General features: G+C 37.7%; 1 protein-coding gene across 27 annotated transcripts in view; it reads left to right on the top strand.

Moving 5' to 3' along the window:
- L3MBTL4 (L3MBTL histone methyl-lysine binding protein 4) overlaps positions 1–15,786 on the top strand; it is a 460,543-nt gene that overhangs the window by 327,604 nt on the left and 117,153 nt on the right. For 17 of the 27 annotated variants that reach the window (NM_001365765.2, XM_047437914.1, NM_001330559.2 and 14 more), the window contains one exon: positions 6,705–6,775. The exons of 7 other annotated variants lie outside the window; for them this stretch is intronic. In NM_001365765.2, the coding sequence (NP_001352694.1) occupies positions 6,705–6,775 (71 nt within the window). Of the gene's footprint in view, positions 1–6,704; positions 6,776–6,868; positions 7,852–8,779; positions 10,157–15,786 lie in introns of those variants that run through there. 3 more of the 27 variants (XM_006722364.3, XM_011525763.3, NM_001365766.2) reach the window with 3 other exon arrangements.

Below are 15,786 nucleotides of genomic sequence, written 5' to 3'. Positions count from 1 at the left end.
ATACTCAGTATCTATAACTAAATTAAGCCCCTTAATCAAGAAAGTAGTGATCAAAACACCATGACAAACCAGAGTTCTTCTTGCCCTATAGGGGGTTTTGGCTGGACAGGAAATCCCAAGGCCTTTCAGAGCAGCCCCCCTCCAGCTCCCCACCTCCACTCAGACTCTGAGGAGCCACTAGCCAGGCATGACAACCTAGGAGCTCTACGGAGGGAAAGGACTCAAGAGATTAATTCAACTTCTGCAATGTGGAGACAAGGACACCAATGCCAAAGAATTTTGCTATTTCATCAGCACTGTTGATGGTGGCCCCTTTGAGCCCTCTGACTCCCAGCTCATTGCTCTCCTCACTGTTCCATACCACCACCTGCCCTAGAATTAAGATGCAGTCAGAATGGAATTTGGTTTTGGTATGTAGTTAGCTGACTAACACTTATCTTGCTGAATTCAGCACCGTGACCATAGCCAGGTCCCGAAATTAGACATATTCATTCATTCAACCTTTGTCTGTTGAATAAATATTTAGAAAATACTGTTCCAAACTCTAGTGATAGAGCAGGGAACAAAACAGACAAAAATCCTTGTTCTTATCAAGCTTTTCCTTGGTGATAAGAAAATCACCCAAACTAGTAAGTGTCAGGACAAGGATTTGAACTTAGGTGGGATGGCTCCTGTCTGTGCAGACTTGGCAGTAGGCATGCTGATTCGCTCATGACATCGATATTCATTCACTCCACAAGTATGTGTGGAGCTGCTGCTGTTGCCAAGTGGTGTGTTAGGTGCTAGGGATGTGGAGGTGAGCAAACCAGTTCCATCTTTGTGTGGAGCCAATTTTCAGGTAGGGGAGATGGAAGAGGAATAAAGAAAGCAAACCATAAATGAAGAGAAAATCACAGTTGGTTGACAGGTGCCATAGGGAAGTAATGCGGAGTAGAAAGGGTGATGCTCAAAATGTTTTCAGTAATCACCTATCATAAAGGGCCCAGCCACTAAGGGAAAAAAGGTTCTGTTGAATATTGTGCATATGGAAAACGAAATGAGTTGTGCCCGGATCAGCTCAGGGGCATGGAGAGGATCTGGGATGAGATGGAAGGGCCCAGCTCTTGCCAGTCTCCACCTGCCTCACTTTTTAGGCACCTCACTGGAGTCTCTAGAGTCTTGTATTTCCTAAATGAATGTACAGTTATGCTGAAACGTTATGAAATAACCCATGGATGCCATGCCATGTCTTCAAAATATTTTTCCGAGCTGATTCTCGTAAAGAATTTTAAAATTTATTCTTAATCTCTGGATTTCTGGAATCCTGCCTTGGCTCAGGCTTTCAGTGACTAAATGCCACAGAACAGTGTGTCCTACAATGTCCACAGCAACTTGTGTAGAGGAAATATTAGTGTTCCCGCACCCCAGAAAAATAAAACCTTGCAGCCTGAGCACCAGCAAGCATTTTATCATCTGTATACTTAACCTGGTTTGAAAATAATTATTTCTTACTCATTGTAAAGAGTAAAGTGGGACTTTAACATGATCTTTTTCTCATTATTACAGCAGTACTTGCTTATTATGGGAAAAGAAAAAATACAGTTGAGTAGAAAGAAGAAAATAAAAACTAAAAACATTAACAATATCCACACCTTTTTCTATCAAACAGCATAACATATAGATGTTTGGAAAAATATAAGAAAATGTCCACCTTAATAATTCCAGTAATGTAGAAGTTTTAAGAAATTAAGAATTTCTCATTCTCCACTCCTAACTCTGATGCTGCATGCTTAGGTCACTAGGGTTAACAGATTGCCACCTGTTCTCTGTACCTTTTTGATGTTCATGTATGCACATGTGTATGTAGATGTATGTATTAGTCCATTTTCATGTTGTTATAAAAAACTGCCTGAGACTGGGTGCTTTATAAAGGAAAGAGGTTTAACTGACTTACAGTCCAGCATGGCTGGAGAGGCCTCAGGAAACTTACAATCATGGTGGAAGGCAAAGGGGAAGCAAGGCACCTTCTTCACAGGGTGTCAGGAAGGAGAATGAACACAGGAGGAACTACCAAACACTAATAAAACCATCAGATCTTATGAGTACTCACTATCATGAGAACAGCATGGGGAAACTGCCCCCATGATTTAGTTACCTGCACCTCGTCTCTACCTTGACACATGGGGATTATAAGGATTACAATTCAAAATGAGATTTGGGTGGGAAACCACAGCCTAACCATATCAATGTACATTCACTCTTTTAAAATAATTTATATTAACATTTTGTTAATCTGCAATGTGTTTTATTTCATTTAACAATATGTCATGGGTAAATTGTCATATCAACACAAACAGACCCAATGCATTATTTTTAACAACTGCATTGTATTCCATGGTGTAGGCATACCGAACTCATTCAACCATTCCCCTAATGACCATGGTTTCCAGTATTTCTCCTCTTGTAAATAATGCTGCAGTAAACATTTTCATATGAATATTATGGAACTTATTATTTGCTGATGCTTTTTACTGCTATATTTTAAAAGGGTTCATTACTTTTTATTTGCAAACTAAACATACTGTATGAATCCTCAAATTGATAGAATCTCACAGGTCATTGGTCCATTTTGCTTGACTGAGAATAAATAAATTCGCATATCCAAACCTACACACATGCGTGGGAACATAGAAAGCTTGTGCAGGCCCCATAATTTGTCCTAGCTCCACGTCTTACCTCATTGCACACCACACCCCATTGCTAATTCTCCTCACCCACACTCGCCCTCCACCTGCAGTGGCCCTCTCTGTGTTTCCTGTGATAAAATTTGTATTGAGGCCCAGTTCAAACTCATCTCCTGAAGGCTTTTTCTACCATCTCTCACCTTGTATGCAGAAAATGTCCTCCTGTTGTATGATCCAATAGCACATCCTCTGTCTCTCTGATGTAGCCCTTTCTTGGTCTGCTTTGTGTAGAATCTGCCCTTGCACAAGTCTGCATCCCCTAATAGATCATGAGTCTTTTGGTGGCAGAAACCATCTCTGCAGAATGCAACAGCTGCAGGCAGGAAAATCTCAGAGAAATGTTGATTGAGTTTGGAGAATTTGCCTAAAAATAGAAGAGTCAGAGCCCAGTGTCTGCCTGTTAAGCCTTAAGTTATAACTAAACACAGTTATTGTGGCAGTTTGGGGAGCAGCTTCCCAGATAAGACAATCACATTCCGTGTGTTTTTTGAACTTATGGACCATTTTTTTTTTAACTTCTAGAACAAGGGTCAGATAGCTTATTTTTTGTAAAGAGCCGGATGGTAAATATTTTAGGTGTGGCCAGCTATAAAGGTCTCTGCTACAACTACTCAGTTCAGCCATCGTAGTGAAAGCAGCCCTAGACAGTAAGTAGAGAAGTGACCGTGGCTGTGTTCTAGTGAAACTTTGTTTACAAAAACAAGCAATGGGCAGGATTCGACTTACGGGGCATAGTTTGCTAACTCTTGTTCTAGAAGGTGTCTAGGTACAGTTAGACTAACCTGAATTAAATTCAAATCCTAGTTCTTCTACTTATTATGTGACTTTTTAAGACTCCTTAACTTGCCTTTTGAACACATAAATAGAAGATTAATATTTCCTACTTCATGTTAAGCATCCAGTTCAGGGCCTAGCACTTAATGAGCACAGAAATGATAGCCACTAGTATTGTCTTGTGAAGGGGAATGGAAGCCTAGAAAGAGGGTCAGAGAGGATGCAGGCCCTTTCTTCCAACTGGAAGTAGGAAATCCTAGGGAAAGAACACATTGAAAAACAATGGATAGCAGAGACTCTTGGGTGACAGTGACAGCTACAGCTTTTGCCTTTAGGTCATATGCACCTCTTTATGGAATAAATCAGGTATAAACAGATACACAGGTCTCTTGACACTTGCGACAGCAACAGCAACGCTATTAATAAAATACACTGAAGATTGTTTAGGATGCCCGGAGCTATTATGACTATATAAAAGCTATGGGCCAGGCTTCAGGAGGAATAATTGGTGCAACAGTAGTACATCCCTGGAGATTTAGACAGAGATTGAGACTATTTTAGCTAAAACACAAATGAAATATTAATCTTTGGCTCATGACTGGCCTAGTCATTTCCAAACATGTCTACTGGCTGTATGCAGTGGATTCTTTTGAAATACAAATTCCTCTGTGACTTTTCCCACTGCCCACAAGATGAAGTCCACATCCTCGAGAACCCATGCAAGGCCCTCCATGGCTGGCTTCAGTTTGTTCTGTCAAGCTGCCTTTCGTTGCATGGTGCTTCAGCCAAACAAGTCGATTAGCTTATTCAGGTCCTCAAAACACTTCCCCGTCCCACGTTACTTATGCTCGTTCTGTTCCACCCTAATTCTCGAGACTTTTGGAAACCCATCTCCATTCTCTGAAGACCCCACTGGCCCAGCAACAGTCAAGTCTCTGCCTGTGACTTCCCTTTATCCGTGCCTTCCATAAATAATCAGTAAACTGTACGCTATTGGAAGGTGATGTGTAAAGCAGAAAGAAACCTGGATTTGGAGTCCAAAGACTTGAGATTGGACTTCATTTTGGCTCCATTAAGACCTGATTTTGGCTCCATTATCGACCCACTTTGTGCCCAAGATGGGGCAGGTTGTTGAATGTCTCTGAGCCCAGTCTCTCAATGTGTAAAACAAGAGTACTATCCCAACCTTGTAGAGTTTTTGTGAGAATGAAATGGGAAATGAAAAGGCTAGGAGTCCTTAGTATGTACCTACCTCCTGGGAGTTCCCAGGAAATGCTACCTGAATCTGAACTACTCACAGGATTTGGCTTGGCATATCTCTCTACTGATGTAATCATTTGAAAGCAAGACTATACTGAAATATACCCATGATCAATTGAAGAACTCCGCATTATTTTTAAAAAGCACCCAACAAATTTATTTGATTTATTTTAAAATGTTTTTTAAAATACCCATAAAAGTTTTATATGTGGCAGACTGGCTTCTATTTTTTAACTTTGTAAGACAGAAGCAAGATCTTGATTAGCATATATTGCAGAAGGGGGCTTTAAGATGGCTTGAAAATCAACTTGAAGTTTCATAAAATTTGTAAAATTGAGGGGGAAATACCTAAAGATTTGCCAAAAATCATGTAAACACAGCTAAAATTGTTCTTTCCCCCGCCCCAAATTATTCTTTGGAAAATGGCTAGGCTGCACTACTTACCTTATGTGCTGTGTCCCAGCATCCTGTTTGACCCATGCTCTCTACCAGATACTCACTGCTTACATTTAAGCCACTTTTCTATAGTTTATATTTTCTCCTACAAGAATGTAAATATCAAAGCATGATATAAGCAAAAAAAAAGAATGTAAACAAATCCTGATGATACATATGTTGAATATAATTAAAATTATATATATTGAATCGATGAGAATATTACACATATTCTTATGCACGTCCATGATGCATAAGCGTTTTTACACTGGTTTTTAACATACTATTTCACTAGTTGCTCTGAACAACCCAGTGAGGCAGGTACTGTGTCCATTTAACAGATTGGAAGCTAAGATTGAGCATTTAAATATTCACTCTGGATCACAAACCTAGGGGCTGCATCCTAGGCGTGAACTCAAGTTTTCGCACACTGAATGTACTGTCTCTGCATTGCCCCCCAGGTGATTAAGTACATGTGGTTAGTATGCTCCACAGTAGCCTTGTAGGACCTATGGTAAAGTCCAAAGTTGGAGTTCAATAGAAATTTTCTCGGTTTCTTGCTTTTTTGATAAAAAGTCTTGATGATTAAGAGATCTCTAACTGATAGAACATTTCTGCCATGATATACTTGTGTAAACATACAAATAAACATATAGATACAATTATCTCAAATTCTGTAAGTCATTTAGGTTTCTATGTAGGATTTTGGTAACTGAATCGGTTTCCTCATCTAGCACAGAAATTAAAACAGTACTTCCATGACCAACTCAAAGGCTTGTTAGTGAAAATGAAATGAGAGACTTGCTGTTCAAATACAGTAAGAAAATACATGTGCAAAGCAAGATATAAATTTCATTAAAATATATACAAATAAATTACTTGATTATCTCACAGGCCTATCTACCTAAAATTAATTACTGACTAATTAGCAATCCTGGAAAAGTTTTATTGTAGAAACTTCCATATTCATTATAAAGTATGAGCCTCAAGTTTTAATGAAGTTCCATGATAAAAGAATAACAGAATTAGGCCGTACTACATACTGCAGCATTTTAAAAGTTAATTAATTCCCTGACATTCAGCAATGTAACTAAATTACTTTATACAGTTGTTTGAGCACAGTGTCTATAATCTTCTGATTAAAATAATGAGCCTTAAAATCATCAGTAGCAATTATTATTTACTTACCTACCATCCCATCACCCACCATCCTGCTAGCTCCTCCTTAGAATCTGAAGAGATTATTCTCCAGAGAGTTTTGGAAACTTTTTACTGTAATAGAATGAGGGGGGAAAGGCCTTTTAAATTTCAGGGTTCAAAGTCAGAGTTTCTGAACAGAAGTGTGTTTTTAAAATCTTAAACTTAAAATTCTAACAAGGCTCTGTGCAGCAAAATACCTGCCAATTCACTATTGTTTACCCTGCAGTTTCTATTTAAATTTGTGCTGCTATCATGATTTCTTCCTACCTCACAGGATAATGAATCTAGATTTTATTTCTGTTCTTTGCCCAGACTTGTACAGCAGGCAAAGTGTTTGAAAATCAAAGGAAAAGAAGATATTGACTTGGATAATCTCTTCAGAGGTAAAAACAAAAACACTAGCAAAACACAGAATATACTTTTTGTTGTGCAGAATGTCTTATTTGTTTGACTGTTTGGTTTTATCATTCCAACAGGGAATGGTAGAAAGAGCCTAACTAGAAGTCAAAAGAGACTTGTGTTCTAGTTCCCGCCCTGTGAATGAGTCCCTTCACTTCACTACTCAAACCTTCATTTTCTCATTTTAAAAGTAAAAGGACTGGACTCTATGATCTCTATGGTCCCCACTCATGATAGGAAAAGTGTAAACCAACAGAAGTTAGAGGTTCAATGGTTGAATCCCACTCTGCCATCTGCAGAGGCCATGGAGGGAAACCAGGAGTGTCTCACTGAACTTGTGAAGGTGGGAGACTGTGAGATGCACCTCATTAGTAAGAAAGGCTAGAAGAGTATTAGGCAAAAAATTAAACCATCAGAGCTGAGGAATCTGTTGGAGTCTAGGAAGAAGAATTGCATGTGTTCTTTTAGTTACGTTTCTTTCCAATGAAGGCTCCATATAGACAGAATTTTGAGGTTGGATTATATTGTACCAAGCTAAGGAATCAGTTTTCTCCAGGTTCCGTTTTGATTTAGTCAGATGCAAACATTGATAATTTCTATTAGCCCACCTGCAGCCTTGGCAGCTCTGTACATTTGTGTCTCCCGGAAGATGTAGGAGATCTGTCTGCCTTCTAGAGGGAAGGAACATTGCTGAGCTTTCTACTGACCTGGTAGAAGTCCAGTGAATTAGCACACTGTGCTGGACTGTGCCATCTCGTTACCCATTGGACTTTTCTTAAGAGAAGGAGAGGGTGCTTGGCAGTCATTGAACAAAAGGGCCGGGAGGCCAGGGAGCAGTGCTGAACTGCTCACTTCAGGCAGAGATGGAGCTCTTGCTTGTGTTGGAGGAATTGTGGATTTCATCTCAGCCACACGAGGCCTTTTCCTCAGAAAAGAGAGGGCAGTTGAATTACTTTGGATTCATTGTGCAGCTACATGTTTCTCCCTCATAAGAAGAATTTCTATGTAATATAACCAGAGCTCAAGTCTGCTTTAAATAAAATAAATCACTGATATTTTAGAAACTGTTCCATACAAATGTTCTCATCCATCTTACCAAGCCTTCATTCTGTAAACGACATGTTTTGGAACCATGTAAGAAGCCTTAAAAAAAAAGTGCCAGTGTTGTAATTCATAGTTTGACACTTTTGAAAATATCTCCACAGAGTAATTATGTATATGTTCTTGTTCAAACAGATACACAATTTTGTAGTTCATATCATAAATGTAGTAATGAGGATCATCCTTACAAAAATAGAAAATGTCATAGCAAAATGCATTTGCATACTGTGAAAGATGAAATCTCTTCCAAGATGCTCAGAATGCACTTGTTCTTTTCTGCATCATGTATAAGGAGTTTACACCCATATGCTTTTATTTATTCATGCATTTACTGTGCTCTTTAATTTAAACATATCCGTTTCCTCACAGCAGAGGTCTGTGCTATCAGATATGGCATTTATGTCAGAAGAGTGTGAGGTGGGAGGAGCAGTCGGCCTTAGGTGGAGCACACGGCTGCCTGTGGACCCAGACCACTGTGTGTTGGGGAAGTGCAGGTGGGGTTCATTCCATCCCATGAAAATTGGCAGGCTGTGGTTAACGCCTGCTTTCTAGTCTAGCCTTTTGTCAATCAAAGTGGCTCTTCCTTGTATGTCCGGAGTCCCCAACACCTAGGCTACAGACCGGTCTGTAGCCTGTTAGGAACTGGGCTGCATAGCAGGAGGTGAGCAGAGGGCAGGCGAGGGAGCAAAGCTTTATCTGCATTCACAGCTGCTCTCCATTGCTCACATTACCACCTGAGCTCGGCCTCCTGTCAGATCAGCTGCAGCATTAGATCCTCATAGGAGCACGAACAGTATTGCGACCTGCACATGTGAGGGATCTAGATTGCGTGTTCCTTATGAGAATCTAATACCTGACGATCTGTCACTGTCTCCCATCACCCCCAGATGGGACTGTCTAGTTGCAGAAAAACAAGCTCAGGGCTCCCACTGATTCTACATTATGGTGAGTTACATAATTATTTCATTATCTATTACAATGTAATAATAATAGAAATAAAGTGCACAATAAATGTAATGCACTTGAATCATCCTGAAACCATCCCCCCACCCCTGGTCTGTGGAAAAATTGTCTTCCATGAAACCAGTTCCTGGTGCCACTAAAGGTTGGGGACCGCTGTACTTTGGGACTAATCCCCATTATTATAAAGCATATTTGCTTTCGTTCTAACGTGGCTGAGACAAAATAATGAAAATAAATATGTTCTTATGGTGATATTAAACGATTATTTAATATTTTATTTCATTTTTCTTAAGCCTGCAAATCTGATCATAATATCCAGTACCCATGTCCTTCCTTTTTTTCCCCTTTTTTTTTTTTTTTTGTTTTTTTTTTTTGAGGTGGACTCTCCCTCTGTTGCCCAGGCTGGAGTGCAGTGGCGCGACCTTGGCTCACTGCAATCTCCACTTCCTGGGTTCAAGTGATTCTCCTGTCTCAGCCTCTCAAGTAACTGGGATTACAGGCTCACACCGCCACATCCGGCTAACTTTTTGTAGTTTAGCAGAGATGGGGTTTCACCATGTTGCCCAGGCTGTTTTTGAACTCTTGAGCTCAGGTGATCCATCCTCCTCAGCCTCCCAAAGTGCTGGGATTACAGGTGTGAGCCACTGCACCCAGCCTTTTCCCCTGCCAGCTTTTTTTTTTTTTTTTTGGTCTGGGCATAGATTTGAATGAGTGCCTTCTTCATTCATCAGGAGTCTTTTATTTATTATTTATTTATTGTTCATTTATTTATTGAGACGAAGTCTTGCTCTGTCACACAAGCTGGAGTGCAGTGGCGCGATCTTGGCTCACTGTAACCTCTGCTTCAGGGTTCAAGCAATTCTTCTGCCTCAGCCTCCCGAGTAGCTGGAACTACAGGTGCACGCCACCATGCCCAGCTAATTTTTGTATTTTTAGTAGAGACGGGGTTTCACTATGTTGGCCAGGCTGGTCTCGAACTCCTGACCTCGTGATCCACTGACCTCGGCCTCCCAAAGTGCTGGGATTACAGGCGTGAGCCACTGCGCCCAGCCAGGAGTCTTCCATTTTTTTTTTTTTTTTAAGGAAAATGGGCTAAAATTTGTGCTCTATTTCTTCTATGAGGGGAGGTTATATACACTGGATTTTTGGAAATTGTATACACACATGTATAGATGCACACGCAGATTCTGTTTTTTATATCTTGGGCATGTTTTCCATTTTCACTGGAAAACTTCTTTTAAAAATCATTTTATTCACCATATGTATGCTTGGCATATATAATAAAAATATTTTAAAGACTACCCATCATTTTCAAGTGTAATTCTTAGCTACTGAACACACTTTTTTCAATACGTAAACATATATCGCAATAATATATAAACGTAAGATTGGATAAACATATATAACAACAACAATATATAAACATAAGATTGGATGATAAAAATTTTAATTACTTTGTAATGATAAAAGTCTGTAGAGGAAACCATGATTATGTTAAAAGGATGTTGGTTGTGCATAACAGGGGCAAGTTGAAATTTGTCTTACTAATCCAAGGTTTACAGGTAAGCTTATTGAGTGTTACTCCTAAGACATGACAAGTGATAATTATTCTTTGGGCCTTTTGCGAAGTAAAATAATGCATGAACATAGAGTTTATGTGTTTGGCAACACCGCGAGCCCCTTCTCCAGGACGGAGCTGGGCCTCTGTGCCTTTTGAGTTGTTCCTTTGCTCAATGAGTGTTCCACAGAGAATGGGACAGAACCTGCTCCCTGAGCACAAGCTGAGGGAGGTGAATTAAAGTGCATTTGCATTCATGAGGAAGGATCTGCTCATCCAGGTGCTCTGTCCTGTCGCCGTTAGACGCTCCTTGGTCCCTCAAAGAGATGTCACTCTCACGGCCACTGCATTGCACCACCTGTGAGATACCTTTGGAATTGTGGAAAGTTCAGCTAGAAAGTTGTTTCTTTTTAATATTTATTCTTTTGGTCCCAAACCTTTAATTAATGCTCATTTTCTAAAAATCCCCAAATTTCATAAAATGAAAAATAAAAATTGAAAGAGATAAGCATTGTTGATAAATCCTTAATGGATTTATTTTGGATATAATAATTCACATTTTTTTTTACCAGTGCAGAATCATATTATATTTGGTGATCTACAATCAGCTTTTCCTCCCTCACTTATTGATATATTGTGGTTACCTTTCTAAGTCAGTACATATACATCTTCCGGGTTATTTCTGTTATAAGTAAAAATTTTAGCCAAGTGCACAGAGATCATACCCATTTAATCATCACTAAGATCAAGAAACATATGACCAGAAGCTCACCTCAAGCTTCTGACCCCTATCATTCCTCCTGCCAGGGTAACTATTCTGATTTTGCTCACTCTCAGTTACTTTTGCCCTGTTTGCAAAATTTTATAAATGGAATCAGATGTTATGTACACTTTTATGTCTGACTTCTTTTGCTAACATTGTTTATAAGATCCATTCAAATCATAGTTTGCTTATTCTCATTGCTACATATTATTCAGTTTTGTGAAGATACCACAATTTATCCATTTTTAGGTTGATTGTTTTCAGTTTTGCACTGTTTCCACTAGGAACATTCTAGTATGTGATTTGGTAGATATGTGTATGCATTTTTGTAGGATAAATATCTATGAGTGGAATTTCTGGGCAATTGGGTTTGCAGAAATTCAATTTCAGCAGTTAGTGTCAAATATTTTTACAAAGTGGTTGTACCAGGATGTTCCTACCAGCACAGTATGGAAATTGCAGGTACTCTGCATCTTTCCCAGTAGTTACTATTTGTCAGTCTCTTTCATTGTAGCCATTCTTTTGGGCTTACAGTGGTATTTAATTTTGCTTTAATTTTGGTTTCCTTCTGAGGCCTAATGAGCTTGAACATATTTTCATGTTTATTGGCTATTTGAATATCTTCTTTTATGAAGTATCTTTCTCATTTGTCTTTTACATTGTCTTTTTTTATTGATATGTAGGAGTTCTTTGGATCAATATATGAGTTCATTGTTTTATAATTGTATTACAGATATCTTCTCCAGTCTACCATTTGCCTTTTCACACTCTTAATGATGCCTTGTGATGAATGCAAATTCCAGATTTTAATATAGTCTATCAGTTCTATTTTGATTAATGCTTTTAGTGTGCCATTTATAGTTTTTGTCAACCACATGTTCATTTTGCTGATTTTTATTCTAGAATCTTTATTTTTTTATCTTTCACATTTAGATCTACAGTGTACCTATAAGTGATTTTATGCATGGTGTAACATAGAGGCGAAGATTTACTTTTTCTTTGAATATTCAGTTGACCCAGCACCATTTATTAAAAAGTCATTTCCCTATTGCTCAGTAGTAACACAAGTAGTTCATACTTGTCATAAATCGAGTAACCATTTATGTGTGGGTCTGTTTCTGGACTCCGTTCTATTCCATTGGTTTACTTGGCTATTCTTGTGCCAATACTATGGTGTCTTGATTACATAACTTTATATGATAAATTCTGATAGCTAAGAATGCCGCTCCTCCATTTTTGTTCTTTTTCTTTGAGATTGCCCTAACTATTCTTGTTCCTTTACATTTCTTATCAGCTTGTTCACTTACACACACACATCATACAAACTACTCTGATTTTAATTAGAATTGCATTGAATGTATAGTTTTATTTCAGGTGAATTGGCATCTTCCAATTCATGAACATGATCATCCTTCTGTTTGATTAGGTATTCTTTAATACCTAATTGATGCTTGATGTAGTTTTTTATAATGCTGCATAGTGGATTGAGGAAATTGCCTCCATTTCTAGTTTTTCTTTTTATATATGTTCCTGAATTTTATCAAATGCTTTTTCTGCTTGTATAGAGATGATCATGTGAATTTTCTCCTTTATTCTTTTAATGTGCTGAATTATATTAAAATAATTTCCAAGGAAATTTTTAGCTGGAATATGTCATAAGTTGGGAAAATGTAAAAATGATACTGTATTGCTGAATGAATCTGAACAAAACAAACATCTATGTACCAGCACCCAGATCAAGAAAGAACCAATGTCTTTACTTGTATAGGTAGACCTCACTTTGCATGCTTCTAATATGAATGAATTTCAGTTACCACCATTTAGTTAAATAACACCAGTCCCCCAACAACATAGTCAGGCTTCATTTACCAAGATATGTTAACTGCGAGTGATTGATTGCACAAAGCACTGGCTCTTTAGTTTACAAATCATTACATAAATAACAGCTCTCATCATCATCAGTGACCAATAACATTACCTCTTTCAAAGTCTGTTGGTGATTGGTCACAGCATTGACCAATCAGTGTTGTTCAGTTCACACACGGACAACATGACAGCCAAGTATATAGTTGTGTAGCCTGCTTGTCACCCAGTGATAAACCCACATAACATTTTACAAAACTGGACACTCCAGAGAGGGCATTGGCCAACAAATATGAAAGTACAGTAAAGAAGAAAGGAAGGGATAACACTGGAAGTGAAATTCTAATCGAATGTAAACATATTCAAAGGAAAAATAGCCAACCATAGAAATGCTGACCCTACCTCCATTCAAGATTCTAGACGTGCGGCCAGGGAACTTAGTGACGGTAAGCTCATTGACATAAATGAAGAAAGGGGTTATGACGAACAGCATGAAGATGTCCCACAGAAAGTGATGCTGGCAAAAAACAAACAAAAAAACAAAACAAACAAACAAAAAAACACTTCACATTAAAGGAACTCTCAGAGATATTTCACAACATTGTAAGTGCAAAGGATAAAATGTTAGAAGTGAATCTAACTTAGGAATATGACAGTTTACCAAGGAATGGAAAAGATGCTGTCTTCATTCACAGCTATATGACAAAAAGAAAGCAAACACTCCTCAGAAAACTCGTGATAAGTTTTTTTTTAACAAAGAAACAAAACACCTTATCTCAATGTATTAAATGTTATAAACCACAGCATACTAATTAAATATTACTTTTACTAGTTAAAAGAGTTGTTAATATTTTGACCAAAATTTGTGAAGTTCGTGAAAAAAGAATTACAATTTTCCCCATTGATTATTAAGCTCAGTTTGCATGGCTTCAGCTTGCATCGTCAATTTTATACCCCCTGACTACCATGCTAAGTGAGAACTCCCTGTGTTTTATTAAGGACTGTTTCAAATATGTTCACAGGAGAAGCTGATCTGTAGTTTTCCTTCTTGTAATGTCTTCTTCATCTCGTTTTGATATTCCCTCTTTCTCCATTATCACCAAGAGTTTATGTAAGATTCACAACATTTCTTTTTTAACTGTTTAGATGAATTCACAGACAGGAAAAAAACTGAAGTTTTTTTTATTGAAAGAATTTTAATTGTAGATTCAATTTCTTTAATAGATTGAGGACTTTAGATTTTTAAAATTTCTTCTTGTATTAGTTTTTCTAGGAATTTGTATATTTCATTTAAATTTTCAAGTCTGTTGCTATTGAGTTGTTTATAATACCCTCTGATTAGCTTTTCAGTGTCTGCAGATTCTATAGTTATGTTCCTTTTTCATTCCTGAAATTGATGTTTATGTGCTTGTGCGTTTTCTCTCCCCCTCTGTCTCTCTCACTCTCTCTCTCTCTGTTTTTGCCTCTGTCTGTTTCAATTAATCCTGCTAAAGGTTTACTTATCTTTACAATGGACCAATTTTTGGCTGTGTTGATTTTCTCTAGTGTGCATTTGTTTTCTCTGTTATTAATTTCTGCTATTATATTTCTGCCTTCCTGCCTTCCACTCTCTTTGGCTTTAATTTACCGTCATTTTTCTAACTTCTTTAAATTATTACTTAGATATTTTGTTTTTAAATATGTATGTGTGTATATATATATATATATATATATATATATATATATATATATATATTTTTTTTTTTTTTTTTGAGACGGAGTCTCTCTCTCTGTCACCCAGGCTAGAGTGCTGGAGTGCAGTGGCACGATCTGGGCTCATTGCAAGCTCCACCTCCCGGGTTCATGCCATACTCCTGCTTCAGCCTCCCGAGTAGCTGGGACTACAGGGGCCCGCCACTACGCCCAGCTAATTTTTTTTTGTGTGTGTGTGTGTGTTTTTTAGTAGAGACAGGGTTTCACTGTGTTAGCCAGGATGGTCTGGATCTCCTGACCTCATGATTCACCCGCCTCGGCCTCCCAGAGTGCTGGGATTACAAGCGTGAGCCACCGCTCCCGGCCTTTAAATATATTTTAATATATGCACCTAAAACTATATTAGCGTTAATTTAAGCATGGCTTTTCCTGCATTCCATGAGTTTTGATTTGTCAGATTTCATAATAATTTAATTCAAAATATTTTCTCATTTACATTGTTTTTCTTTTATATGTGGTATGAAGAAATATACTGATTCATTTCCAGATATTTGGGGATTTTATTAACTTTTTGTTATTGATTTTGAATTTTATTCCACTGTGGTCAGAGAGTATACTCTGAGCAATTGTTAATCATACCGTTAGATCTTTATTATCTTTACTGATACATTTCTTCCTGCTTATTCATTTGATTCCTGAAAAAATGTGTTAAAGTCCTCTACTATGGTTGTGATATTACCTGGTTTTCCTTTTATTATACACATTTTTAGGCTATATTACTAGGCTCATGAAAATTAGAACATTAGAATATTAGTAATCAATTGACCCTTCAACATTTTGAAATATGTATTTTATTTCTCCAATTGCTTCTTACCTTTGTTTCCTTTGTCTGATATTAGCAGTATTATTTTGATTAGTATTTGTTTGTTATATTTATTTCCGTCCTTTTATATGCTCCATCATTGTCCTTATATTTAATGTGACACTTCCAAGTGGCGTGTGATTTTTATGTGTAAATCCAATCTAATAACAATCTTTCTTCCTTCCTTCCTTTC

Source organism: Homo sapiens, chromosome 18 (genome assembly GCF_000001405.40).
Source record: "Homo sapiens chromosome 18, GRCh38.p14 Primary Assembly".
Classification (NCBI taxonomy): domain Eukaryota; kingdom Metazoa; phylum Chordata; class Mammalia; order Primates; family Hominidae; genus Homo; species Homo sapiens.
This window is presented reverse-complemented; position numbering and strand designations above follow the sequence as displayed.